The 25,853-nt window shown below is 41.3% G+C and overlaps 1 protein-coding gene and 1 long non-coding RNA gene across 12 annotated transcripts in view, besides 1 other annotated feature; one reads left to right on the top strand and one right to left on the bottom strand.

The window, feature by feature from the left end:
* IQCH (IQ motif containing H) overlaps positions 1-25,853 on the bottom strand; it is a 247,019-nt gene that overhangs the window by 66,446 nt on the left and 154,720 nt on the right. For all 10 annotated transcript variants that reach the window (NR_147832.2, NM_001031715.3, NM_001322475.2 and 7 more), the window contains 2 exons: positions 18,308-18,428; positions 13,782-14,068 (listed from right to left, as the gene is read on the bottom strand). Coding sequence is in view for 9 of the 10 variants with exons in the window: in NM_001031715.3 (NP_001026885.2) it covers positions 13,782-14,068; positions 18,308-18,428 (408 nt within the window). In the remaining variant the exon portion in view is untranslated. The remainder of the gene's footprint in view (positions 1-13,781; positions 14,069-18,307; positions 18,429-25,853) is intronic.
* Positions 1-25,853, top strand: part of IQCH-AS1 (IQCH antisense RNA 1) — a 118,234-nt gene that overhangs the window by 86,486 nt on the left and 5,895 nt on the right. The window contains exons 4-5 of one of the 2 annotated variants that reach the window (NR_040052.1): positions 4,959-5,038; positions 13,861-14,024. This is a non-coding gene — a long non-coding RNA (IQCH antisense RNA 1). The remainder of the gene's footprint in view (positions 1-4,958; positions 5,039-13,860; positions 14,025-25,853) is intronic. The other variant, NR_040051.1, reaches the window with a different exon arrangement.
* Positions 20,934-21,228: an enhancer, noted in NCBI's record as "tiled region #12968; HepG2 Activating non-DNase unmatched - State 10:DNaseD". NCBI's record gives its function as "activates a minimal TATA promoter and a strong SV40 promoter by Sharpr-MPRA in HepG2 cells {active_cell/tissue: HepG2}" and the evidence as "EXISTENCE:reporter gene assay evidence [ECO:0000049][PMID:27701403]".

Here is a 25,853-nt window from a genome sequence, read left to right as displayed (position 1 = left end):
CCCACCTCAGCCTCCTGAGGTGCTAAGATTACAGGCATTACACACCCTGCCTACATATAGACTTTTTTTTAAAGACATACGAATGGCCAACAGGTATATAAAAGGTGCTCAGCATCACTGATTATCAGGGAAATGCAAATCAAACCCACAGTGAGATATCACTTCACACCTCTTCAGATGGCTATTATCAAAAAGACAAAAGAAGGCTGGGTGCAGTGGCTCACATCTGTAATGCCAGCACTTTGGGAGGCAGAGGCGGGTGGATCACGAGGTCAGGAGTTCGAGACCACCCTGGCTAACATGGTGAAACCCCATCTCTACTAAAAATACAAAAATTAGCTTAAAAAAATTAAAAAAAATTAAAAAAAAAACAAAGATACAAAATACAAAAATACAAAAAAATTAAAAAAAAATACAAAAATACAGGCGTGGTGACGCGCTTGTAGTCCCAGCTACTCAGTAGGTGAGGCAGGAGAATCGCTAAACCCTAGAGGCAGAGGTTGCAGTGAGCCACGCCACTGCACTCTGGCCTGGGCAACAGAGTCAGACTCCGTCTCAAAAAAAAAAAAAAAAGAAAAGAAAAGAAAAGACAAAAGATAAGTATTGGTGAGAATGTGGAGAAAGGGAACCCTTATACACTGTTAGTGGGAATGTAAATTAGTACAGCCACTGTGGAAAACTGTATGGAGGTTCCTCAAAAACTTAAACACAGAACTACCATATGATCCACCAATCCCACTTCTGAGTGCGTAGCCAAAGAAAATAAAATCTTGAAGAGATATCTGCACTGCCGTGTCCATTGCAGCATTATTCATAATAGCCAAGACGTGGAAACAACCTAAGTGTCAGTTGATGACAGATGAAAGGATGAAGAAATTGTGGTGTGTGTGTATATATGTATGCATGTATATACACATTGGAATATTATTTAGCCTTAAAAAAGAAGGAAATTCTGTCATTCATGACAATATGAATGAACCTGGAGGATAATATGCTAAGTGAAATAAGCCAGACACAGAAAGACAAATACTGCATGATCTCACTTACATGTGGAATCCAAAAAAGTCAAACTTATAGCAACAGAAAGTAGATGAGTGATTACCAGGGGTCGGAAGGTGGGGGAAATGGGGAGATGCTGGTTAAAGTGTACAAACCTTCAGTTATAAGATGAATGAATTCTGGAGACCTAACGTATAGCATGGTGACTATAGTTAATAACCACATATTATATACCTGAAATTTGCTAAGAGAGTAGATCTTAACTTCTGACCACACACACACACACATCCAAGTGAGATGATGGATATGTTAATTAGCTTGATTGTGGTAATCATTTCACAAGGTATATTATATTGAAATATCATGTTGTACACCTTAAATAAAAATACTTTTTTTGGGTTAGTTATACCTCAATAAAGCTGGGATCGGAGAAGGACAATTTTGTAAGAGAAAATTTATCACATAAAAAGTCTTGACCACAGGTGACAGCTGGAACTAGAAACAACTTTCAGCTTTGTTTTGGGATGCTGGGGCAAGCTATAAATGCTCATAGGTGAAGAATCTTATGGTCTTTCTTGGCATTAGTAGGGAGCCTTTTCCTTTTTTCCTACCTCCTGCCCTCCTGAGTCCTGCAGAAATGTAGTACCTGCTGGAGACAGCAGGGTGCAGTGTGAGTGTCCAGATTTTCCTCGCCCTGGCCATGTTTCTGGTGATTCAAGTTAAAGATCCCTAAGTGCAGAGAGGTGTCTTGGTTTCATTTGAAAGGAAGCAAAGAGCTCCATGATGAGAATGGGCATCTTTTGAGGAAGTCCTGGGGGAACAGCTGATGTAAACAGAGGAATTAGGTCCGTTATATGCAGATCAACCAAAATCCTACCCAAGAGCTGATATTTAGGCTTGGGTTCAATATTTCTCAGTGTGAAGGTTTACAGTGTAAGGGGGGTTAACCAAACATTTAAGGACAGTCACAAATGGTAATATATACATAGCAAAGTTGGCCACTAGTTTACCTGCACTATCAGTGTTAAGAAACAGAATTGTAATTTTCACTGGAAAAATTTGTCATCATTGCCCATGTGCTTATTGTAGAAGTCATCATCATTGCCATCATCATTACTATTACTTGCATATTATAGGTCTCTTTCATTGACACAAAGATACAGCCCTTTTAAAGGGAGAAGGTCTTTTACTTTAATGCTTCCAAGTCCTTTGGGATGTATTTTCCCTTCACTAGGCATTAACTTGTGATTAACAATCTGCCCACTATAGCACTTTAAAACACTGAATAATAGGTACTTCTGTTAATACCAAAGGCGTATTACATTTTAATTTAGATATACTCTGTTAGCCTTCTTCCATATAAATAAAATACTTTCCCTAAAGAGAAAAAGTAAATCTCATTGAGCTTCCTTGGTGAATACCTTGTATATCTTGAAAACAGAGATAGGGGAGATCTTGCAAATGAGAGTACTAGAGGGGGATTTAGAGAAGTATTCATTCATTCATTAAATAAATATTTATTGAACATCTATTATATGCTAGACAGGGTGCTAGGTGCTGGGTATACAGCAGTGAACAAGAAGGAATTATGATATTTCTGTAGACTTTGGTTTTTCCATTCTCTGAAATAAATGTATTCATTTTTGATGCTTATATATCACTTTGAGATGATGATAATGCTCAGTGACTTTTAAAAATAATGCTAATTCAATTCTGATTCAACTCACAGTTTGAGCACCTGCTGAGGGCTCCTGTGACAGTTTTACATGTGGTTATGCCATTTGATTTAATAAGAACATCACCTTATATCTGCTTAGCCTCTCAGAACATACTGTGAGGAAGAGGGCAGGAATTTACCAGTTGATAACAAAAAAACAAGGCTCAGATTGGTCAAGTGAATTGTCTACAGTATCACACTAGTTAGTGGAAAGACTGGGGCCAGAACCCATTGCCATTGCAATGAAAATATTTTCAGATTTTTTTTTATTCTAGGCTGATATTCTGTATTTAGAAACTCTTAAAAATCGTTTTCAGACTTTATGGGATATACTGCGGTATATATCAGGGCCTCCATTTTCATCTTTCCTCACAATCTGTACTTTGTGACAAGTCTTATTTCCTTTCTGTAGCTAACTTTATGTTTTGGAAGGGCCATTACTACTCTCCAATAGCTAGTTTTCATATCAATTCTTCTTAAAGCTTGGATTTTCTTTAATTTCCTTTTTCAAAAAAAGTATTAACTATCAATGCTTATAATACAGATTGTTGTTTCAAAGTTCACAATTATCTAAAATAAGAGTTAATTTATTTATTTATTTTTGAGACAGGGTCTTGCTCTGTCATCCAGGCTGGAGTGCAGTGGCGAGATCCTAGCTTATTGCAGCCAGCCTCCAACTCCTGGGCTTAAGTGATCCTCCTGCCTCAGCCTCCCATGTAGGTAGGATTACAGATGTGTGCCACCATGCCCAACTAATTTTTTATTTTTAATTTTAGAGATGAGTCTTGATGCCCAGGCTAAAAGAACTTTTTTTCCTTTTTCCATCACCTGAAGCTTTTATTTGGTAAAAGCCAGATCACCATGCTCCTCAAGAAACAAGAGGCTACAATCTAAAAAACTATTGATATTGGTAGGAAATGTTCAACTAAATTCTATGATAATTAATGAACCTTATATCTATTCAATTTCCTGTGAAATATAAAGAACAATGTGTGTTTTTTTTTAACTTTTAAGTTCGGGGTACGTGTGCAGGTTTGCTACACAGGTAAACTTGTGCCATGGGGGTTTGTTGTACACATTATTTCATCACCCAGGTATTAAGCCTAGTACCCAGGAGTTATTTTTCCTGATTCTCTCCCTCCTCCCACCCTCCACCCTTTGATAGGCCTCAGTGCGTGGTGTTCCCCTCTATGTGTCCCTGTATTCTCATCATTTAGCTCCCACTTATAAGTGGGAACATGCAGTATTTGGTTTTCTGTTCCTGTGTTAGTTTACTAAGGATAATGACCTCCAGCTACATCCATGTCCCTGCAAATGCAGGACATGATCTTGTTCTGAAAGAATTTTTTAATTTGGGAATTTTCATATAGAGCATCTTTGCCAATCTATTTGTTTAGAGACTTTTATATGAGGAACAGGAATGGGAGAATTGCTATATAAATGTATATTTACTTGAGGTGAATCCAACATGATATTTGTAAGACTTAGATCATCATTTTTATCCATATGTGTTCTGTGCTTTTTCCCACCACTCTTTCCCACCAAGTGAGCCTGTTTCTCACTTGGAATACACTCTTTCTTACCCTCCTCATATCCTAATTTTCTTTCGGCTCAAATCCCACCTTCTCTGCAAAACCTTTCTTGATTGCTCCCAACAGAAGGGATCTTTCTCTTGTCTGAATGCATGTAGAAAAATCATTTGGCCGTTAAACTGATATTACCTTTTTGATGTCTCTTTTATTGTTCTACGTAGTTGTCACTTAAGCCTTTCCTTGCTACTCATTTTTCAAGCCTATCTTCCCAACTAGAATGTGAACTCCCTAAGGGCAGGCACTTCCATGTCTTTTGCATCTTTGTAGCTTCTCTAGCACCTAGCATTATGGCTTATACATAATAGATGCTCAATAAACACTTGTTTTTTTTAGAGTTTCCCCAAAGTGAGTAATTAACTACAAAAGATCTGGATCATCTAGAAGTTCCAAAAGTCCATAAATCAACAAATAATAATCAGGTGGCTGGCCAAATATGACCATCATTGTGTTAGACATTATGAAGAGGTAAAAAAAATTCAAGGCCTAGTACATTTTCTAAAGGATTAAAAAAATCTCATGGAGGCAATATTTATACCTATGAATCAATACAAGTATAAAACAATTGTGTGCATGTATAGCAAATAAAATGGGACGATGGATATGAAATAAGCTTTGTCATGATACAGAAGATGTCTTGTTTATTTCCACAGCACCTAACAGGAAGCCAGAGTAGGTCCTCTGAAGGTGTTTGTTCAATGAACTTGTCATCCTCCTCAACTTAAAGCCTTTAGTAAGTACTTCATATCCCTCCTAGAACCTACTAGATACTGTTTATCATTGATCCTGGCTCCAGGACCCATCAGGATTTGGAAATAGCTTTTGCTGCTATTTGTTTACTGCTTGGATCCCCTTACATAATATTATCCTTATGTGGGAAGGCCAGATCTCCAACATGGCTGCCTTGTAGCTCTGTGTATTCTGGAGTGCCATGTACTCTGCGTGCCATCTCTGAAGGCCTAGAATTTCCCCATTTCTAGGGTACCAAAATCCTGGACCTAAATCCACTGGCAGGAGTAATCTTAGACCATGCTCCACCATCTCCATTTCCCAGGGACCAGCCCCTTCTTCCTTGATTACAAAATGACCGTGTGTTCTACTTGATGCTTCCAATATTTAAGTCTTACATTTCCACAACTTCTTCTATTCTGCTAGAACCTCATTCTCATCTCCTTAGGTCTAGAAAGAATTCTCCACTTTCTTTTCTGGAGTTGATTCACAATTGTGGGACTGTCCTTGAGGCATTGCTGTCATTTTATCTATTTTGCCTTGGCCCCCAGTCCCCTTTGCCCCTCCTGCGTCAGCATGGTAAATTATGGGGCCCAGCTGGGGCCAATGGGCATGAATTTGAAATGGATGCAGTCACCTCAGTTTTCTGTTTCCCATGTCTTATTGTAAGACCTGTGTGTATGTGAGTAAGATCATGTATGTGAAAGTGCTTTGCAAACAATAACATTCTATACAAATTTTTGTTATCGTTATTCATGTATTTTTTTCTGATTAGAAATATAATACATGTTTGCTTTTTATTTTTTTGAGACAGGGTCTCGTTCTGTTGCTCAAGCTGGAGTGCAGTGGCACGATCATGGCTCACTGCAGCCTCAATCTTCCAGGCTCAAATTATCCTCCTACCTCAGTCTCCTGAGTAGCTGGGACTATAGGTGCACATCATCATGTCCAGCTAATTTTTAAAAAATTTTTTGTAGAGACAAGGGTTTTGCTATGTTGCCTATGCTGATCTCAAACTCCTGAACTCAAGTGATCCTCCCATCTCAGCTTTCCAAAGTGCTGGGTTTATACACATGAGCCACTGAGCCTAGACTATAATACATGTTTACTTTTGCAGAAAACACAAAGAACAAAATAGCAACCACCCTCTATATTAGTATCCTATTGCTGCTGCAACAAATTGCCACAAACTTCCTGGCTTAAAACAACACAGATTTATTATTTTTCAGCTCTGTGGGTCAGAAGTCTTACTGGGCTAAAAATTAAGATGTGGGCAGGGCTTTGTTCCTCCTGGAGACTCTAGAGGAGAATCTGTTTCCTTGCCTTTTCTGGCTTCTAGAGGCCATGTGCCTTCATTGGCTCATGCCATTGGCTCATGGTCCCTTCCTCCTTGTTCAAGGCCAGCAGCACAGCATCTTCAAATCCTTCTCTTTCTATGATCCCCCTGCCTCTCTCTCTCTCTTTTTTTTTTTTTTTTGAGACAGAGTCTCACTCTGTCACCAGGCTGGAGTGCAGTGGCATGGTCTCAGTTCACTGCAACCTCCACCACCCGGGTTCAAGCGATTCTCCTGCCTCAGCCTCCTGAGTAGCTGGGATTACAGGCACGTGCCACCATGCCCAGCTAATTTTTGTATTTTTAGTAGAGATGGGGTTTCACCATATTGGTCAGGCTTGTCTCAAACTCCTGACCTCGTGATCCACCCGCCTCGGTCTCCCAAAGTGTTGGGATTACAGGTGTGAGTCACCGCACCCGGCCTGCCTCTCTTTTAAAAGGACCCTGGTGATTATATTGGGGCCACCTGGATAATGCAAGCTACTCTTCCCAACTCAAGATCCTTAACTTAATCACATATGCAAAGTCCTTTTGCCATGCAACATAATGTTCACAGATTTGGGGAATTAGGGTGTGGATATCTTTAGCGGACCATTACTCTGCCACCTTCAATCTTGCTGTCCAGAAATAATGACTTGTAACATCTTAGTATATATCTTTAGGTTCTTTTAACTCTGCATTTATATATTTTTTTCTTTTTATAAAATTATCATATTGCATATATTGCTTGTGATCTGCTTTTTACCTTTATCTATTCTATAAAGTTTCCTGTTAAATATTCTTTAAAAACATTAGTTTTAATGTCTTCATAGTATGCAATTTCATTGAACTATCATAATTTGCTCTAAATATTCTCTATAGTTGGAGATCAGGTGCAGTGGCTCACGCCTGTAATCCCAGCACTTTGGGAGGCCAAGGCAGGTGGATCACTTGAGGCCAGGAGTTCAAGACCAGCCTGGCCAACATGGCGAAACCCCGTCTCTACTAAAAATACAAAAGTTAGTCAGGTGTGGTGTGTGCCTGTAATCCCAGCTACTCAGGAGGCTAAGGCACAAGAATCACTTGAGCCTGGGAGGCAAAGATTACAGTGAAGCAAGATCATGCCACTGCACTCCAGCCTGGGCAACACAGGGAGATTCTGCTTCAAAAAAAAAAAAAAAAATCTATTATTGGAATTTAGACTACTTGAAATATTTTGCTATTCTTAATAATGATGTGATTAATATATGTGTATTTAAATCTTTGTGATTATTTCCTGGTGATAATTTTTTTAAAGTGGATGATTATTATTAACATTTGAATTTGCTGATACAGAAAATAAGTGCTTTAAAATGTTATTGAAATAAAGACTGTTTTGAACTGTAGGTTACCTCAGATGCAAAATAAGCTAACCTCCTCATTTTATAGCTGAGAAAACTGAAAATGAGGGAAAGTGATAAGTTCAAGGTAATATAGCAATTTAGAAGAAGAGCTGGAGGCCAGGCACAGTGGTTCACACCTGTAATCCAAGCACTTTGGGAGGCCAAGGCAGGAGGATGGCTCAAGGCCAGGAGTTCAAAACCAGCCTGGGCAACATAGTGAGACCCTATCTCTACAAAAAAAAGAAAAGAAAAAAGAAAAACAGCTGGATTTGACTATATGAAACTTTAGTATGATGAAGAGTATTACAAATAAAACACAAATGACAGGATTGGGATCCAAGCACATGAGGCATGGAGGGGTAGGGCACAGATAGAGTAGGCAAAGAAGATGGCAGGAGTGGTTGGGAGATTAGTTACATTAAACAAATAAGTAAACTGACTAAGCAAAGAAGTAACTATATTGAGGGATAAAGACTCAAGTTTCTCATTGTTGGAGAAGTTATTTATTTTTTAGTGTTCCAATAAAACTTTATTTACATAAAATGAATGCTGGGTCAGATTTAGCCTGTAGGCCATTGTTTACCAACTCCTGCTCTAGACTATCTTGATCCTCCTGTTTCTGGGATTTTCTTCTTCTTTTTTTTTTTTGGATACTGGGTCTCTGTTGCCCAGGCTGGAGTACAGTGGTACAATCACAGCTTATTGCAGCATTGACCTCCCGGGCCCAAGCAATCCTCCTACCTCAGCCTCTCAAATAGCTGGAATCACAGATGAGTGCCATTATGCTTGGCTAATTTTGTTTATTTTAAAAATTTTTTTGGTAGAGACTGGACCTTTCTATGTTGCCCAGGCTGGTATTGAACTCCTGAGCTCAAGCAATTCTCCTGCCTCAGCCTCCCAAAGTGCTGGGATTACAGGCATGAGCCACCACATCTGGCCTGGGATTTTATTTTGTAAATATACACAGTTACTATGTTCCAAGTTCTATTTAGCTTTTCATTTTTATTTTTATTTTTATTTTTTTTTAGTTTGTAAGTTTAAATAATGAGTATGAGGTTGGGTTTTTTTTTGGTATTTTTTATTGATATGTAATAGTTATATATATTTTGGCCATACATGTGCTATTTTGATACATGCATACAATGTGGATACATTGTAATTGTACCCCAAATCAGAGTAAGCAGGATATCCATCAAGATATTTACTTTTAAGTGTGGAAAAGGGGAATTCTAGAAAGAACCTTGAGGTGCTGGATTGAAATTGGAGATGCTGGCAGGAACTCATGGTTTTATAATATAAACACTTGATAGATATAGAAATAGTTATAGATGCACAGATGTATGTATATGTACATATGTGTGTTTATATGCATATATGTGTGTATAACTGTGTGTATGTATTGTACCTACGTAATACATGTACTTGCTAGCTCTGTCCACTGAGAGGTCTCAGAAGGGGTGACACTCCAGTAGCAATGGCAGCACTAAGAGCCCAGATCTTACAGGGCTTCTGAGTCGATCCTAGGTCCAGGGCAAGGAAAATAGAAAATGAGCCTGGAACATCTTATTGTGTCAGAAAGTAAGACATGCTCAAAGAATGATGAGGACATGTCAAAAGGACACAAGACACACCCTGAAGGGTCTCTCACTGGCCAAATCTGGAACAACTGAGCATCAAAACAATGAAAGTATCAAAATACAACCCATTAAATAAAATAGAAACCCATGACTTCATACTGACATAAATACATACAGACCTACAGGCATAAATGAGAGGTGGAGAAGGAAAATTGTTTCTTGCAGTAGATTGCCAGAAATTTCTACACAAAATTTTACCAGAAAATTTTCCACAGAAATACAAAATTACCACTATCGTAGTGGTAGTGGAAAAAGTTGCCAATGGATGCTAAGTTTTCTGGGTGGAATTTGATAAGCAATACACTATTGTGGTACTCTTGGAACACATTTCTACAAAATATTACTAATCAATTACAAGGGAGGAAATAGTAATTTGTTTTTTGAGACAGAGTCTTGCTCTGTCGCCCAGGCTGGAGTGCAGTGGCGCGATCTTGGCTCACTGCAACCTCCACCTCCTGGGTTCAAGTGATTCTCCTGCCTTAGCCTCCCGGGCAGCTGGGACTACAGGCACATGCCACCACGCCCAGCTAATTTTTGTATTTTTAGTAGAGATGGGGTTTCACCATATTGGCCAAGCTGGTCTTGAACTCCTGACCTCGTGATCCACCCACCTCGGCCACCCAAAGTGCTGGGATTACAGGCGTGAGCCACCGCACCTGGCCAGAAATAGTAATTTTTATGGTGGAGAAACATGGCCAAAAATAAAAAGAGAGAGAGGAAAGCCACAAATGACAATCTGAGAGAAGGTATTTACAAGATGTATAATAGTCAAAGAATGACAGTTTCCAATATACAAAGAGCTCCAGCAAATCAACATTTGTGTTATAGTCCAATTTAACTGGGGCAAAAGATATGATTAGGCAATTAAGAAAAGATATATAAATGGGCAAACAAACATATGAAGAGGTGTGGATCTTCACTAATAATCAAAGAAATGCTGAATAAAACAAAAAATTTTTAACCTGTTAGACTGACAAAAAATGAGAGGTTGATAATATGCCTGCCAGTCGCTTCAATGGCATCACAAGGCATGTCAATTAGAAAAAAAATTAAGATGTTTTCTGAAGTGATACCACTTGCAAAATGGCTAGAAAATATGCCAGTGATTTGTAAATAATTTATTATATACAGAGAACAAACATACTTCTCTTGCTAATGCAGAAACACCCTTTGGTGTGGTCACTGAGAACTTCTTCCAATATTCTGTTGATAACTATAACACAAATGATCATATACTGAAGTATTTATGGGAAGGGACAAGGAAAATTCATAGTATGATAAAATCAGAGAATCTAATATCTATCTATCCCATTCATCCAATGAATGTTTGAGCTCCTTCTTCAAAAGCCTTGCAATACCATCCAGCATCTGCTAGAACTCCTCCATTGTTCATTCATTCAGTCAACAAATATTTACTGAATACCTACTTTGTGCCAGGACAGAAGTAAGTGCTGAGAATACAGTGGGGGAGCAAAAAGAAACACAGCACATCGCTTAAAAGAGCTTACAATTAATAGGAGGAGAAAAATATTAATCAGATAGTCATGTAAATAAGTTTAAATTTGTAACTGAGATAAGTGGTACGAGGAATGCTCACACACAGCTACACAATGATATGAAAACCTAAAAAAGGAGAATTTGACTTTGTCAGGAAGGTCAGGAAGCGCTTCAGTCAATGTGGCTTGAGCTGAAATGTGATGGCTGGAAAAGGGGCTAACTAGGTCAAAAGAAAAGGCAAGAGCATTTAAGGTGGAGGAACAGCATGTTTAGGCCCTGTGGTAGAGGGAATATGATGAGTAAGAGGGAATGAGACAGGGTGTGTGGATGGACCAGAACAAAACAGAGGGCAAGTTAGGGTGAGACAAGACTGGCCAGGTACATGGAACCAGCCAAGTGAAGGGTGGGACCTTTCAGCCAGAAGCCCAGAAGGGTGGTAAGCCCAAGGAAGGACTGGCATCGTGTTTGGAGAAGATCCTTTTGACTGCTGTGTGCAAGTTTCCTTATACCAAACTCAAATAAATAAAAGCCACAAGTCAACTGTCTCCATAGTTCCATCCTTCCTATTGTCCCAGGGACCACAGTTTTACCTTTCTCTTTCTCACTCTCCTTCTTCCTTTTTTCTTTTCTTTTTTTTTTTTTTTAGATGAAATCTGGCTCTGTCACCCAGGCTGGAGTGCAGTGGCATCATCTCGGTTCACTGCAACCTCTGCCTCCTGGGTTCAAGCAATTCTATTGCCTCAGCCTCCCGAGCAGCTGGGATTATAGGCATCCACCATCACGCCTGGCTGATCTCGAACTCCTGACCTCAAGCAATCCACCCGCCTGCGCCTCCCAAAATGCTGGTATTACAGGCGTGAGCTACCGTGCCCAGCCTTTTTTTCTTTTCTTTCTTTTTTTTTTTTTTTTGAGACAGGTTCTCACTCTGTCACCCAGACTGGAGTGCAGTGATGCGATCCTGGCTCACTGCAGAGGAGGTGGGAGGTTGAGGCTACAGTGAGCTGGGATCAAGTGATCCTCCCACTTCAGCCTCCTGAGTAGCTGGGACTACAGGTACATGCCACTATGCCCGGCTAATTTTTTTGTATTTTTTTGTAGACATGGGGTCCCATTATGTTGCCCAGGCTGGTCCTGAACTCCTGGGGTCAAGTGATCTGCCTGCTTCGGCCTCCCAAAGTGCTGGGATTACAGGCATGAGCCACCACACCCAGCCAATCTTTCTTACAACAAATACTTGGGGAGGGCAGCCTCCCCTGGCTCCTCCTCCCCCTGCATCCCTGCCATCCAGATTTCCCCAGGGAGCATTGTTTCTGTCCTGCCTCCACCACAGGGAGAGTTCTGAATGACCTTCAGTTTGTTCTTTTCCCTCTCAATGTACAGGCCTGAGAACAGAATGTAAAACCAATGGAGGGCCCAGGAAGGCAAATGGAAAATGATTATTGAACAAGCTGAAAACTGCCAAAAAACATAAACTCTCACTTTGAAACCATCATCTGACTGAAATGGAGAACTGTAAAACTGAGAATAATGATCCTAAAACAACCAAAGTATATGTACAATGCGGATGACCAGAGGATATCGCGATATCGAGAGAGGAAGGCCAGGAGGTCATTTCGCCCTTTAGACAGAGGTCTGGACATGCAGCACTAAGAGAGGAGCAACCGGACATTTTAAAACACGAGTCCTGTGAAATAGTAGTGAACTTTAACATTATACTTTTAGGTGGGAAAAGCAAAGTGAAAAAGGTTAAAGATGATTTATCCTGAATAGTATATCTCAGCACCATACCTATGCACATGAAGAATCTCACAAATGGAATATTAAACAAAAGCATACAGTAAAATAATAATAGATAGAATGTTATGATCTACAAAATTCTTAAAAACATGCAAAATAAAACTCTACATTATTTTTGGGTGTATCCATGTGTGATGAAAGCATAGAGATGAAAGGGAATTAAAACCCCAGGTATGAGACAGTAGCTTCCTCCTGGCCTCTAGGAGGAGGAAGAGCCATGTGCTTGGCAAGGAGTACACAGGACTGCAGGTGGCACTGACACCACTTTGTTTCTTAAGCTGGGCAGGGGCACATGATATTGATTATATTATTATTTAGACCTTTTTATATTTATGAGGTATCTCTCAGTACGTTTTTTAAAGAAAAAAATGAGACAATCTAAGTTGTCTGATAAGAAAAGGAACAGAAATGTGAACTCTTAACTCCTTTCTAGTGATTGATTTTCTATATAAAACAGGCTCTAGACCGGTTCCACTCCCTGGATGGCATAAAATAGTTTCATGATACATAGGGATAACACTAATGGACAGAATTGAGGGCCTAATCAAAAGAGCTGTGAACTGTGAGGGGTGAGATTCAGTCACTATTTTTTTTTTTTTTTGAGATGGAGTTTCACTCTGTCACCCAGGCTGGAGTGTAGTAGCATGATCTCGGCTCATTGCAACCTCTGCCTCCCGGGTTCAAGTGATTCTCCTGCCTCAGCCTCCCAAGTAGCTGGAATTACAGGTGCATGCCACCAGGCCCAGCTAATTTTTGTATTTTTAGTAGAGACAGGGTTTCTCCATGTTGCCTACGCTGCTCTTGAACTTCTGAGCTCAAGGCATCTGCCCACCTCGGCCTCCCAAAGTGCTGGGATTACAGGTGTAAGCCACTGTGCCTGGCCTCAGTCACTCTTTAACTCCAACTGTACCTGAACGAGACAACCCTGGCCCTGTATTTCCAGACATAAAGCCTGGTCCCACTTGGATTCGCATGGGCCATATAGGTGTTGAATTTAGAGCAAGTTCATCAGAGAATCAGTGCATTTTAGAAGAGCCCTCATATGCCCTGTTGTACTGTAGGTGTGTAGGGTGCGGAGTCATTACATATTTTAGCATTTCGTATGGCATCCATTCAACTTACCTGTTGTTCCAAGGTGCTTGGATCTATAAAAGTCACCAGATCTATCGAAAAGTAACCAACCACATCTCTCATTCTGCAGGCTTTTCCAATTTGGAGGCACAAATAAGTGAGAACTTGGGGATCCACTGAGGTCTGAGGCACGGTGGTACCAGAGGAGATGAAGGGGCTTTCAGCATGAAGCTGGTCCCCTGTCGACAGCACGCTGATTTTCCCGTTGGGCTCTATCAGCATGTCCACTGTGAGGTTGGTGACATTGTCTGCAGGTGGGAATGCTTCGATCACACCCCCTGGTGGGAAAAACATGGAGTAGGTGAAAGGACACATGCATTTTGTTTGACTTGGGCTCAGATTCTGCATCTGCCATGTCTTGAAAGACTTTGGGCAAGTAGCTTACATTCTCTGAACTTATTTTTCTTTATCCGTAATATGGGCATAATAAAGCCTACCTCATTAGATTGTTGTGCATCTTGGAGATACTGTATCTATCTATAGTATTCAGCCCAGCGCTTGGTATATTGTAGGGCTCAATGAATGGTAATTTTGATTCTGATTATAATTTGAAGACACTGTGAGGATCACTGGGTCTATGCCCACTTATTAAACAGGGAACCCAAGAATTATGGTCAAATCCCTCATGGGGAATTAACGGCCCATAGTCCACAGTTGACATCTTGATTACCAGTGTGCTCTTTTTGGTAAACTTCACTGCTTTTTGAAGGTTTGACAGGTTTGGGCTTTTTGTGGGCAGAGAGAACATTGACCATCATGTCAGCCAAAGGACTTCTATATAAAGCCAGTTATAAAACATTTTTAAAAATATAGAACCAAGAGATATTGCCGTGTTTGAAGAACACATATGCTCTCTCTGCTGATAATGAGAGCTTTATAATTTATTACATTTTACCCTTTGCTTTGAATGCCAAAAATCATAGAGGCAAGTCTGGTGTTCAAGCACAGCAATAACATCTTTCTGGCTAATTTGTGGGCTATCTCAGTGGTGTCCACAAAAATTACATAGCCCCAATCTTCTGTTTTTAGGCCCAACTTACAAATCTTACTGTATATGTCCTCTTTGTAGAGAAAAACTTTAAGATATTATTTGTAAAGAGTTAAATAATTTAAAAGTAAAAACAACAAAGTGTTCCATAGATAGGGTGCCGTCTAGAACCTGACAGCACTAAGAGAAACTTGGCCTGTATTTCACAAATTTGCTGGGGGCTGGGAGAAGTGTGACCTCTGCCTACAGGTGTAAGCCACAGACTTTGAATAGCATACAAAGAAAAAAATGAGCAGTTTTCAAATGCAGTCATCTGTTACTTCATCTAAAAAGCACTTTCCTTAAATGTCTATAAATTTGGTCAGAGGTAGTCCTAACAAACACCAAGTTTCAAAAGGAAAACCGATTTTGGAGTGTACATATTCAAATCCTAATTTTTCTATTTGGTTTGTTTGAGACATGCTTTTCTTCAAATGAGGCCTACTCGTGTGTGCTACACCTAAATACCAGTTGCTGGGGATTTAGCAAGGTAAATGCAACAAAACAACAATGACAAAAATCTACAGAAGTAAAAAACCTAGTGAGTCTCTATGCTTTGGTTAACTTTGTGCCTTTAGCCGTCACCTATGTTTTGAAAGATAGTGCTTCAGTGGAAACACACTATCATTCATAACTTACAAGATTACTTGGGTATTTTATTTCAAAGTAGCTTACTTGCACTATCTTCTCAGCATCATGACCACAACCTTTTCACTGTTACTTTTTTTCCACTCAAAGCAATTAATTCCTCCTCTGAAAAAGGTATTGCCACAAAGTTAGACCCTGTCTCTACAAAAAAATTGTGAATTGTAAACAATAAATTAGCTGGGCGTGGGGGTGTGCGCCTGTAGTACCAGCTACTCAGAAGGCTGAGATGGGAGTATTGCTTGAGCCTGGGAGGCCAAGGCTGCAGTGAGCTATAATTGTGCCACTGCACTCCAGTCTGGGTGATAGAGCGAGACCCTATCTCAAAAAATAAAAATTAAAATGAAAAAGTATTGCTTCTGATATAATCCTATGACAATTTAGAAATCAAACCCTAGCACATTTTGTGGCCATAAGCACACTGGAGAGAACATAAATGGAATGAAACAGGCAATGGTGGAAGCTGGAGGGAGGGAGATGGTGACCTTAGAGTTGGGAAACCTGGGAGACACCCTGGCTCAGTTAGGGACCATTGATGCAGGGCCTGCTGTATGCACTGGGTCGAGAGAAAGGCAGAAGCTTTGAAAACACATGACTTTCAAGAACCAGGTTTTTTAAATGTACTAAAATTGTAGGATCTAACTTTGTGTTCCATTTACCACTTATTTGTGGTGTGATTTTCCCCAAGTCCCCTCCAATCTCTGAGCTTCAGTGTCTTCATGAAGAAAATTAAGTTAACAAGGCTTGTACTGCTCTCCATAAATAAGCATGGCTGAGAAAGCAGGATAAAGATGAACAGGAGGTAGAGGTGAAGCCTTAGCTTGTGGTTATACAGCTCAGATGAGACAGTCGCTGGGAAAGCCTTTCTCATCTACAAAACTCACATGAAAAGAAATAGTTTAGAGGGAGGCTTTTGCAGGCAGATGCTGGAAGATCTGGAAATTTCCTAATGACCTGGACGGGCCTGGAGATCATCATGGTCTTCCCCCGATAACTTAAAAAAAAAAAAAACCTTATTAGGCTGGGCGTAGTGGCTCACGCCTGTAATCCCAGCACTTCGGGAGGCCGAGGCGGGCGGATCACCTTAGGTCAGGAGTTTGAGACCAGCCTGGCCAACATGGTGAAACCCTGTCTCTACTAAAAATACAAAAATTAGCTGGGCATGGTGGCATGCACCTGTAATCCCAGCTATCAGGAGGCTGAGGCAGGAGAATCACTTGAACCTAGGAGGCGGAGGTTGCAGTGAGCCGAGATCGCACCATTGCACTCCAGCCTGGGCAACAAGAGTGAAACTCCATCTCAAAAAAAAAAAAAAAAAAGTAAAAACACCCTATTATTGATCTTGTGTGTGTGTGTGTGTGTGTGTGTGTGTGTGTGTGTGTGGTAGCCACTTGATTTTCTTCCATTTATGCATGGGGTTGACTTTCCTTACTTGTCTATCAGTGGGTACATGTGGAAATTTACAGAATCACAAAATTTTAGAGTTGAAAGGACATTGGAACTTGTCTAGCACAACTGTCCCCTGCAAAGAATCTCTTTCCAGCAATCTTGTTAGATGGCTGCCATTCAACCCCTTGCTTAAATAATTCATTATCAGGGTATCCAATACACCCTGCCCAGCCAGTATATTCCAATAACCAACAGATCTGTCCTTTCATACACTCTCATACATTGAGCTACAATAAGCCCTGATAAATGTAACTACTGGCTCTGCCCAAGACTCCTGGAGCAGCACGGAGGTAGCTTTTCATGGGCTCTTCTACGTGTTAGCAGAGTGATTTGGGGTTAATCTTTTGTACTTCAGTTTTCCACCTCTATAAAATGAGGGTGATAATGGTGCCCACCTCATAGGATGGGTAGGAAGCTTTGAAAAGTTAACATAGATATACTTAGAAGAGTGCCTGGCCCATAATAAGCACTATCTAAGCTCACTATTATTATCATCACTGTGCTATTGCTGCTGCTGTTATCATCTGACATGACATTATCTTATCATTATTGATTATTGCTGAGATTATTATTATCACTTGACAGCAGTGGAAAGATACCTTCTCTGGCCTGTTATACTAACCCTTTCTTCTTGTGCATGTGGGTAAGCATGTAAGATGTCTTGCACTGTAACCTCCTAGAGACTGAGGGCCGTTGCATAGGTGTGCCTCTGTGTAACATCTGACAGGGACCTCTGAGACGGTAGACAGGCATCATTCACTCCATTCATTCCCTCATTCATAGACCACCCAATGTTGTTAGGAAATGAGGATGAAGTAGGAGGAGGAGGATGAAAGGAATGGAGGCTCGCTTTGTTCCTGGATTGTAGAAAACCCTTGTTTGGAAATGCTATATTCAGAACTGGAAGCGAGACCATTTTTGCTCTCCTAGAAAACAGAAGGAGAAACTAACACTTATTAAAGATGATTTTGTGTAAGGTTCTGTGGTAGAAACTTTCATATCTGTATTTCATTGAATCCACCCAATGACCCTGTAAGGTAGGTAAGTGAGGAAACGAGCCTTGGTGGGTTTAAGAACCTTGCTCAAGGTCATGGATGGGGTCCAGACCCAGGTAATCTGATTCCAAAGCCCACCTCTCAGGAGAAGTTTGTAGTGTAAAAAAAGGCCCAGAATCTTGAGCTTCCCATGCCATGCTTGGCATGCTAGGTTCTTATTTACTTAAGAGGCTGGGTGTAAGATAAATATTTAGGCAACATTTGAAAAAGAAAACCGTAGGAGCACTTTTCTAAACCAACACAGGAGATGCAAAGTATTTAAATTGGCCCCAGTTGACCCAAAACTAGAATCCAAGGTTGTGTAGACTAATCCTCAATAGAAACTTTACAGTCTTATTTACCTTGACTGAGAAATGTTTGGAGGAATTTCCTCCACGTCGGGAACCGTTTCTCATTGACTGGCTGTGCGTGCTGTGCTAAAATGCCCGCCAGCTCCTCAGAGATCTTCACCAAAGCTGGCTCCTGCAGAAACAAATTAAATAGAACCACAAGCAATTTTACTACAGAAATGAAAACTGCTTGTGGAGTGATTAAAAACCAGGCCTCCAACAGGCAAAAAAAATGTGGTTACTGTTTACCCAGAGTCAGAAAGCCATTTTGAAAATGTTCTCTCTTTTTTCAGCCATTTCAGTTTTCATATTTCAAAAGTGATTTGGCGCCCTAAAAATTCTTAATTGTTCCTGTTGTCTCTGAAAGGCACCCTTCTCTCTGGGCATCAGGAAACGAGGTTTCAGACCCACTGCAGCTGGCAGCCTGACCAGCAGAGTGTCCTTGGGCAATATCTTTTCTCATTCTGGGCCTCAGTTTCCCTTTATATAAAATGTGGGGTTAACTGTTTTTTTTGTTTTTGTTTTTTGTTTTTTCTTTTTTTTTTTGAGACGCAGTTTTGCTCTTGTTGCCCAGGCTGGAGTGCAATGGCGTGATCTTGGCTCACTGCAACCTCTGCCTCCCGGGTTCAAGTGATTCTCCTGCCTCAGCCTCCCGAGTAGCTGGGACTACAGGCATGCGTCACCACACCTGGCTAATTTTGTATTTTTAGTAGTGACGGGGTTTCTCCATGTTGGTCAGGCTGGTCTCAAACTCCCGACCTCAGGTGATCCGCCCGCCTCGGCCTCCCAAAGTGCTGGGATTACAGGCATGAGCCACTGTGCCCAGCCTAATTTTGTATTTTTAGTAGAGATAGGGTTTCACCATGTTGGTCATACTGATCTCGAACTCCTGACCTCAGGTGATCCACCCGCCTTGGCCTCCCAAAGTGTTGGGATTACAGGTGTGAGCCACCGCACCTGGACACCTCCATATATTTTTTAATTTTTAAAAAAAATTTTTTGAGACAGGGTCTTGCTGTGTCACCTAGGCTAGAGTACAGTGGTGTGATCATAGCTCACTGCAGCCTCAGTCTCCTGGGTTCAAATGATCCTCCTGCCTTAGCCTCCCAAATGGCTGGGACTACATGTACACACCACCATGCATGGCTAATTCTAAAAAAATTTTATTTTTTTTAGATTTGATTTTATTCTTCAGATTTTATTTCTGCCAGAAGTGAGACAGGGTACTGGATCGAAACTCATATGATAGACAATATTCATATTCAAAATATGGAGCACTGACAAGAAAAACTCAGATTTACTTTAGGTTGCAGGGGAACTTCTGAATCTGAGTGATGGTGCAGTAATTTGAAGGGATCAGCTTTGGGGGTGGGATTGGAATATTAGAAATCACACACACTTATTTCCAATTTCCCTACCATTAAAAAGTGATTGTCCTCTATGCACTGCTCACCCCAACTCCTTGGAACAGCTGGTTGATTCTAGGTCCAGTGCCCACTGACAACCCACAGTAGAAGACAAACATCTGACACTATGCCCTCAGCGGGTTCAAAAAATCTGAATAACTTCCGAAATATCCAGAAAATCTTGGTGGGAGAGTTTCATTAGTTATCTTAGTAAGTGCTTGACATACAAAACAGAACTGCCCTGAGAAGCGGAGAGTGCCCTGGCTCACACTCAGCTCAGGACGACTCCCTGCACAGTGGGAGGAGGTCTGTTAAGAAGGGCTGGGGAAGCGTTCATGCAGAGAGCTCTGTCTTGTGATGCAGAGACAAGGAAACTGCTGTCAAAGCAATGGGCCTTTTCCCTCCCTTCATATCCTATACGCTGTGCACATTTTCTCTGATCTTTACTGTGAATTACCTGATCGCCCCAAAGCCCTGCATCTAAATTATAAACAAGCATGTGAAATGCACAGCTCCAGCAACCCGGACCCCTTCTTTGTTCCTTCTCTGAACAGTCCCCCAAATCCATCTTTCTTTTGTTTTACACTTGTTTCAGTTAAAACCATTCCATTTTATCAAGGAAGACCAACTGTCTCTGATTTATGAAGTGCCCCAAAGCTGGGACAATGAAACACGGCGTTAGAATCCCACTCTTCTCTGGAAAATGGAATGGCAAGGAAAGGAAGTCTCACAGCCTGGGCCCTCTCTCAGACAAGTGGGAATTGCTTTGTTCTGCCTTGATTAAATGGCCTTTTCTGCCCCACTGCTGGGGAATGTGAAATCATCTACTCAGTTATACACATGTGGTCATTCATACCAAGACAGTCCAAAGATAAATCATTCATTCATTCATCTATATAGCAAAAATTACAGAATGTCAGGCCTTTTAAGCAACTGAACTAGTAAAAAAGTGATATATATACACATATATATATTATATTATATATATATATATTTTTTTTTTGGTGTTGGGGAGAGAGGGAGAAAAGGCAGTGAAGGAGCAGGTAAAACCCTTGCCACGTAAATCTTGAAAGGAGATCTCCTTCAACTTGAGGATCAAGTCCAAACTCCTCAACATGACAGATGAGGAAGGTCCTCTGTGATATGGCCTCTGGCTCCTAATGTGGCCTCACTTTCCTGCTCAGCTCCCAGCCTCCCCCTAACCTGCCCTCCTCTGCCTCCCCTTGCTGACTCCTCCTCATCCTTCCTGAGGTCGTTCCAGCCACAGCTCCTCCAGGAAGCCTTCTCTTCAATTGGGAGAGAAAGCTTTCTCCGTGCTCTCCAGCTCTCTTGGGGCTGCTTAATGGCATGGCCACTGGCTTTGAGGTCAGTCTCCCAGTGCCCAGCACAGGGAACACTAAATGTCTGCAGAATGAGTCACGATGGTGGTAAACATAGGACGTAGTCCTTAAAGCTGAAGTTACAGAATAAGATAAAACGTGAAACCTCTCAATGGGTTCCTCCTTGCTGCTCAGGAAGCAGCTGGAGGGAAGGCTGCTAAAGAACCACAAATTCTTCCTGGGCGGACTTTATGGGATTCCCTGCCTCTGAAGGGCATCGGGAAGATAAACGAGGTCACATTTATGAAGTGTCACCTCAGATGCAACATACTATGTGAGGGCCAATAAGTAACTCATCAGCCTGCTGCTTGTGTGTGGCATCTGGACACTGTGCCAGGCTTCTGCCACCGCCTCTGATCACAAAGCCAGCCATTCTGCTTTGACGCTTGGAGTTTTCACTGTGCACAAAGCCCCAGTAAGGAGGTAAATTTCCTAGAGGAAAGTCGGCTGCTGGAATCTGGAGGAGTAATCGTGTCCTACCATGAGAGGTACACAGCTGAAGGCACTGGCGGGGTGACATTCAGTAGGGATGCTGGGGCACACAGAGGCAGCTTGGGGCCATGATTCATTCTCTAAGAAAAAAGGCATGGAGAGGAATAATGCGAGGTAAGAGGAGAGGGGTATTAACTGTTTAATTTATTTCTTTATTTTGAAAGTGTCTGATGGGAAAAACAAGGATTATACTAAGAATGGCCTCAGCACCAATGAAAATTGTCTTCCTATCCCTACAAAACAAACCAAAAAAATACAGCAGGACCTGCAGCTCATATATTCAAGTAAGGTCAGAAAAATGACATTCTTGGTAAAAGCTTCATTTTATTTTATCCCCCCAACAAAACAACCCTTTACAGTCTGGTTTCTGCTGGTACTCAGAAGCTGCTTGTGAACTGGTGGGTTAGGCCAGAGCTCAAATCCAGGAGCAAAGGACTCCATCGCAGCAGTGGTTTAACAAGCTAAGAACACTGTTTTCCCAAGAAGCAACAAGGTCCCAACAGCCACAATGGGTCTATCGACGTCAGATGCAAGCTCTCAGTTTTTGGGGGGCTTTCTGTTCTCTGGTTTTTGTCATTTTGCATAGTTCAAACATAATTGCCACAACTTTAAGGGCAGATGCTGGTAAGGGAAGATCTGTAGCTATTCAAGTTTATTTTGTTCAAAACAAACTTATGTACACACAGACACACACACACACACACACACACACACACCTTCCATAACAGACAAACACTCCAATTCATGTGAATCATTAGAATACTATTTGTAAAATACTTTGTCTCATCACAGGTTCACATTCATGATCTCATTCAGTACTTTCAGCAACACTCTGCAGTGGCCACTACCATGTTATTTCTCTTGCTTTAAAATGGGAGCTGAGGCACTTAGAATGAAGAGGCTTGTGTAAGATCACTCAGTGAGCTTCAACAAATGATGAAAGACAGAAAATAACAGAGTTAGGGGAACCATTGCTAGCTTGCTTTCTTCCTCCCTTTTCTATCTTCCCAAAGTGTATATATATTGAATATCTGTTATAAGCCAGCAACAGGGGCACATCTTCTTTATCTCAAAAACTTGTGAAATGAGGCCGGGCGCGGTGGCTCATGCCTGTAATCCCAACACTTTGGGAGGCCGAGGTGGGTGGATCACTTGAGGTCAGGAGTTCATGACCAGCTTGACCAACATGGTGAAACCCTGTCTATACTAAAAATACAAAAATTAGCCGGGCGTGGTGGTGGGCACCTGTAATCCCAGGTACTTGGGAGGCTGAGGCTTGAATCCAGGAGGCAGGGGTTAGAGTAAATTGAGATAGCGTCATTGCACTCCAGCCTGGGCAACAAAACCAAAACTCTGTCTCTTAAGAAACAAACAAAAAAAAAGACAACAACAACTTGTGAAATGAGTAGTTAGGAAGTTTTTTTTGCTTTGCATTGAGTAACAACAAGGTGATGGACGATGGGCGACCACATCAGTGTTTCAGAGAGGCTATTATCCATTTTGAACAGATCATTTAGAGCTAATGACTTGGGAAGTGTGGAAATAAAAATATATACCTTGTTGATAATAAACAAGTGCTAGAAAAAATACACTTGACTTTTGAAAAAAGTCAGAATTCCAGATTTTCATTCCATCATGATTGCACTGGCTCTGGGAATGCAATTAGCGGCTAGCTTTGTGGGGCTGATAGCTCTAGGGCAATTCCCATCAGAAGAAACTTCAGCCCCATCTTTGCCACTGCACAGGCTTGCCTCCACTTTTTCCAGTGCCCACATTTACCTCTCAGAGTGCATCAACAATCGTCAGGACGTTGGAAGGTTCCAAGACATCTGCAGAAAGCATGGGGCTCCACCAGCCTGGCCGATGCACCCCAGAGATTCTTGTCTACCAAGTATGTAACTTGCCTCTTGCTCTCTCTTTTTCTATCAAGAAAGTGTAAATTTGAAGGAAGAGATGTCTGAATGAATGAAATTCAGGATATCTTAGGGGAAGCCAGTAGACTCTCCATTGCACTCAATGACTAAAGCTAGTGACTAAAGCTTAATACTGCACTCAATGACTAAAGCTACTTCAAACTCTACAGAGTTAGCTTCCCCAACCAAGTAAATTCCAAGAGTGCCTCTGTGTGTGTGTATTACACACACATACACACATACAGACACACATTGGTGTAATTGGGTCATGTGCCAATCTGCAGTGGTGAATTAATAACTTTTTGGTTAATCACCTCAAATCTCCCATATCAGACACTGATGGTGTTCAAAAGAAAATCAAGGGACCTGCCTACATGGTTCTGATTTCTAGATGCTTTCTGACATCCCTACATGAAGGACTGGAGAGTGAAAAGGGCAAGACAATGACCTGAAAAAGTAAGCAAGACTGTCAGTGTTGAAAGGAGCCATGTGGACTATCTAGGACAAATGCCTCATGTCACAAAAGAGGGAACGAGGGCTTCTCCAGTCACACTGGGAGGCCGCAGGTGCTCTCTGGCTGCCTCTGACTCCTGGGTAAGTGCTCCCCACCGGCCCTGCTGCCTCTTCAGAGTGTAAAGTGGGGAGCACCATGAAAGGTGCTCCGGATTTGAATCAGCTAGTGGTACAGATTGAGAGAAGGGAGGGGTTCCAAATTTGAGGGTGAATTTAGAAGGGCTGCCTCCGTGTGCACAGGATACATTTTAGTCACTTTTTAGGCTTTATTAAAATCCTAAAAGCTTTTAATAATTAAAAGCTCACCATATGGTAGGCATGTGCAGGGGTGGGGTGGGGGTGGTTTACATTTATTATCTCAGCCACTCTCTGAGGTAGACAGTGTCATCCCCTTTTCATGTCACACTGCCATAAAGTAGCAAAACAGGGATTCAAACCCAATTGCTACCAGTGTGCCATGATGCAGTGGAATCTGTGCTGGTAACTGCCATCAAGGCACAAGTGCTCAGTCTGGGCTGGATTATATCATCCACAGGTGATGCTAAGTCAGTGCTGTCAAATGTATGAAAATATGGTAGCATGGGCCTTTGTCACTGGCTGCCCAGCATCTATGTCCCCTCTTTCAGGGTAATAATATTCCAAACTTCTTTCAGGACCAATACTTTCCCCATGCCTAACTATGTGAGTTGATTGAGATTGTTGCCCCCCAACTCAGCTGCAAGGATTGGCCCTGATGAGCAAAGCCACATCCTGGCTACAGTGATTGGTTCAGGATGGGCAAATGACCCAATTAGACCAATCAAATATTAGGAAGCACTTCCTGGGGCTTCTGAGAAAGCAGCTTTATGCTCTTCTGAGAATGCTACCAGATGAGATGTTCTCTCTTCCTATTGCCTTGAGCAGGGACAAACTGCAGGAGCTACTGGCAGCCATCTTGTAACCGTAAGGATGGCCAGCCTTAGAATGGAGTGTAGTATACAGAAGTGGAAAGTAACTGGGTCCTTGGTGACATCATTGAGCCTTGTCTGAAGCCAGACCAATGTTTGAATTTTTAGTTAGCTGACATAATAAATTCTCTTTATTTTTAAAGCCATTTTGAGATAATACATTCTCATCATTTAAAAAGCCATTTTGAGTTGGGTTTTCTGTTACTTGAAACTTAAAACATTTTAAACTGATGCAAATGGGGGAATCAACCTGTGTATCCACAACCCATGATGGGTGTTTTAAGCCAGCAAATGCTCTGATCACTGTGTGCACTGGTAACTCTCATTCTGCAATCAGCAGTGGAGTTTCCACTCATTCCTTTCCATCAAGATTATTAGAAATAGTCCCTCTTTAGAGTGCAAAAATATGCTGAGAGGATGAAGAAAAAATGAAAATGTCTTTGGCAAGTCATAAACTACTTCCCACACCTACTTAAAGTTTAAGGACTGCTTTAATACTCCATGTTTAATTGTTAATTGAGAATTTAAAAATCAAAAATGCCAACTTTGCCTTCGATGAGATGGAAAATTATGCTGCTGTAGAAGGTAACATAATGTAAAACAGCCAACATTACCAAGGCACACAAATGTTTTTGGTATGTAAAATTGCTTTGTAAAATATTTGCTCCATCTGCTGAAAGCGGCAAAGACAATTTTCCCTCGATAGCTAATGGCCCATTTCGGCTGTGTGGCAAGTGATTCGCTGTGGTGGCGGCTCTCATTAAACAGAATGGTGAAAATGCGGTATATAATTCCATACTTATGTAGCATTATCCACTCGCTGCTTCTCGAGGAGTCTGTCCCTCATTATCTAGGCCTCCACCTTGCACCAACATGCAGGCCTAGCAGTTGATTTGACTCGAGAAGCG

The sequence above is a fragment of the Homo sapiens genome, chromosome 15 (assembly GCF_000001405.40).
Source record: "Homo sapiens chromosome 15, GRCh38.p14 Primary Assembly".
NCBI lineage: Eukaryota > Metazoa > Chordata > Mammalia > Primates > Hominidae > Homo > Homo sapiens.
This window is presented reverse-complemented; position numbering and strand designations above follow the sequence as displayed.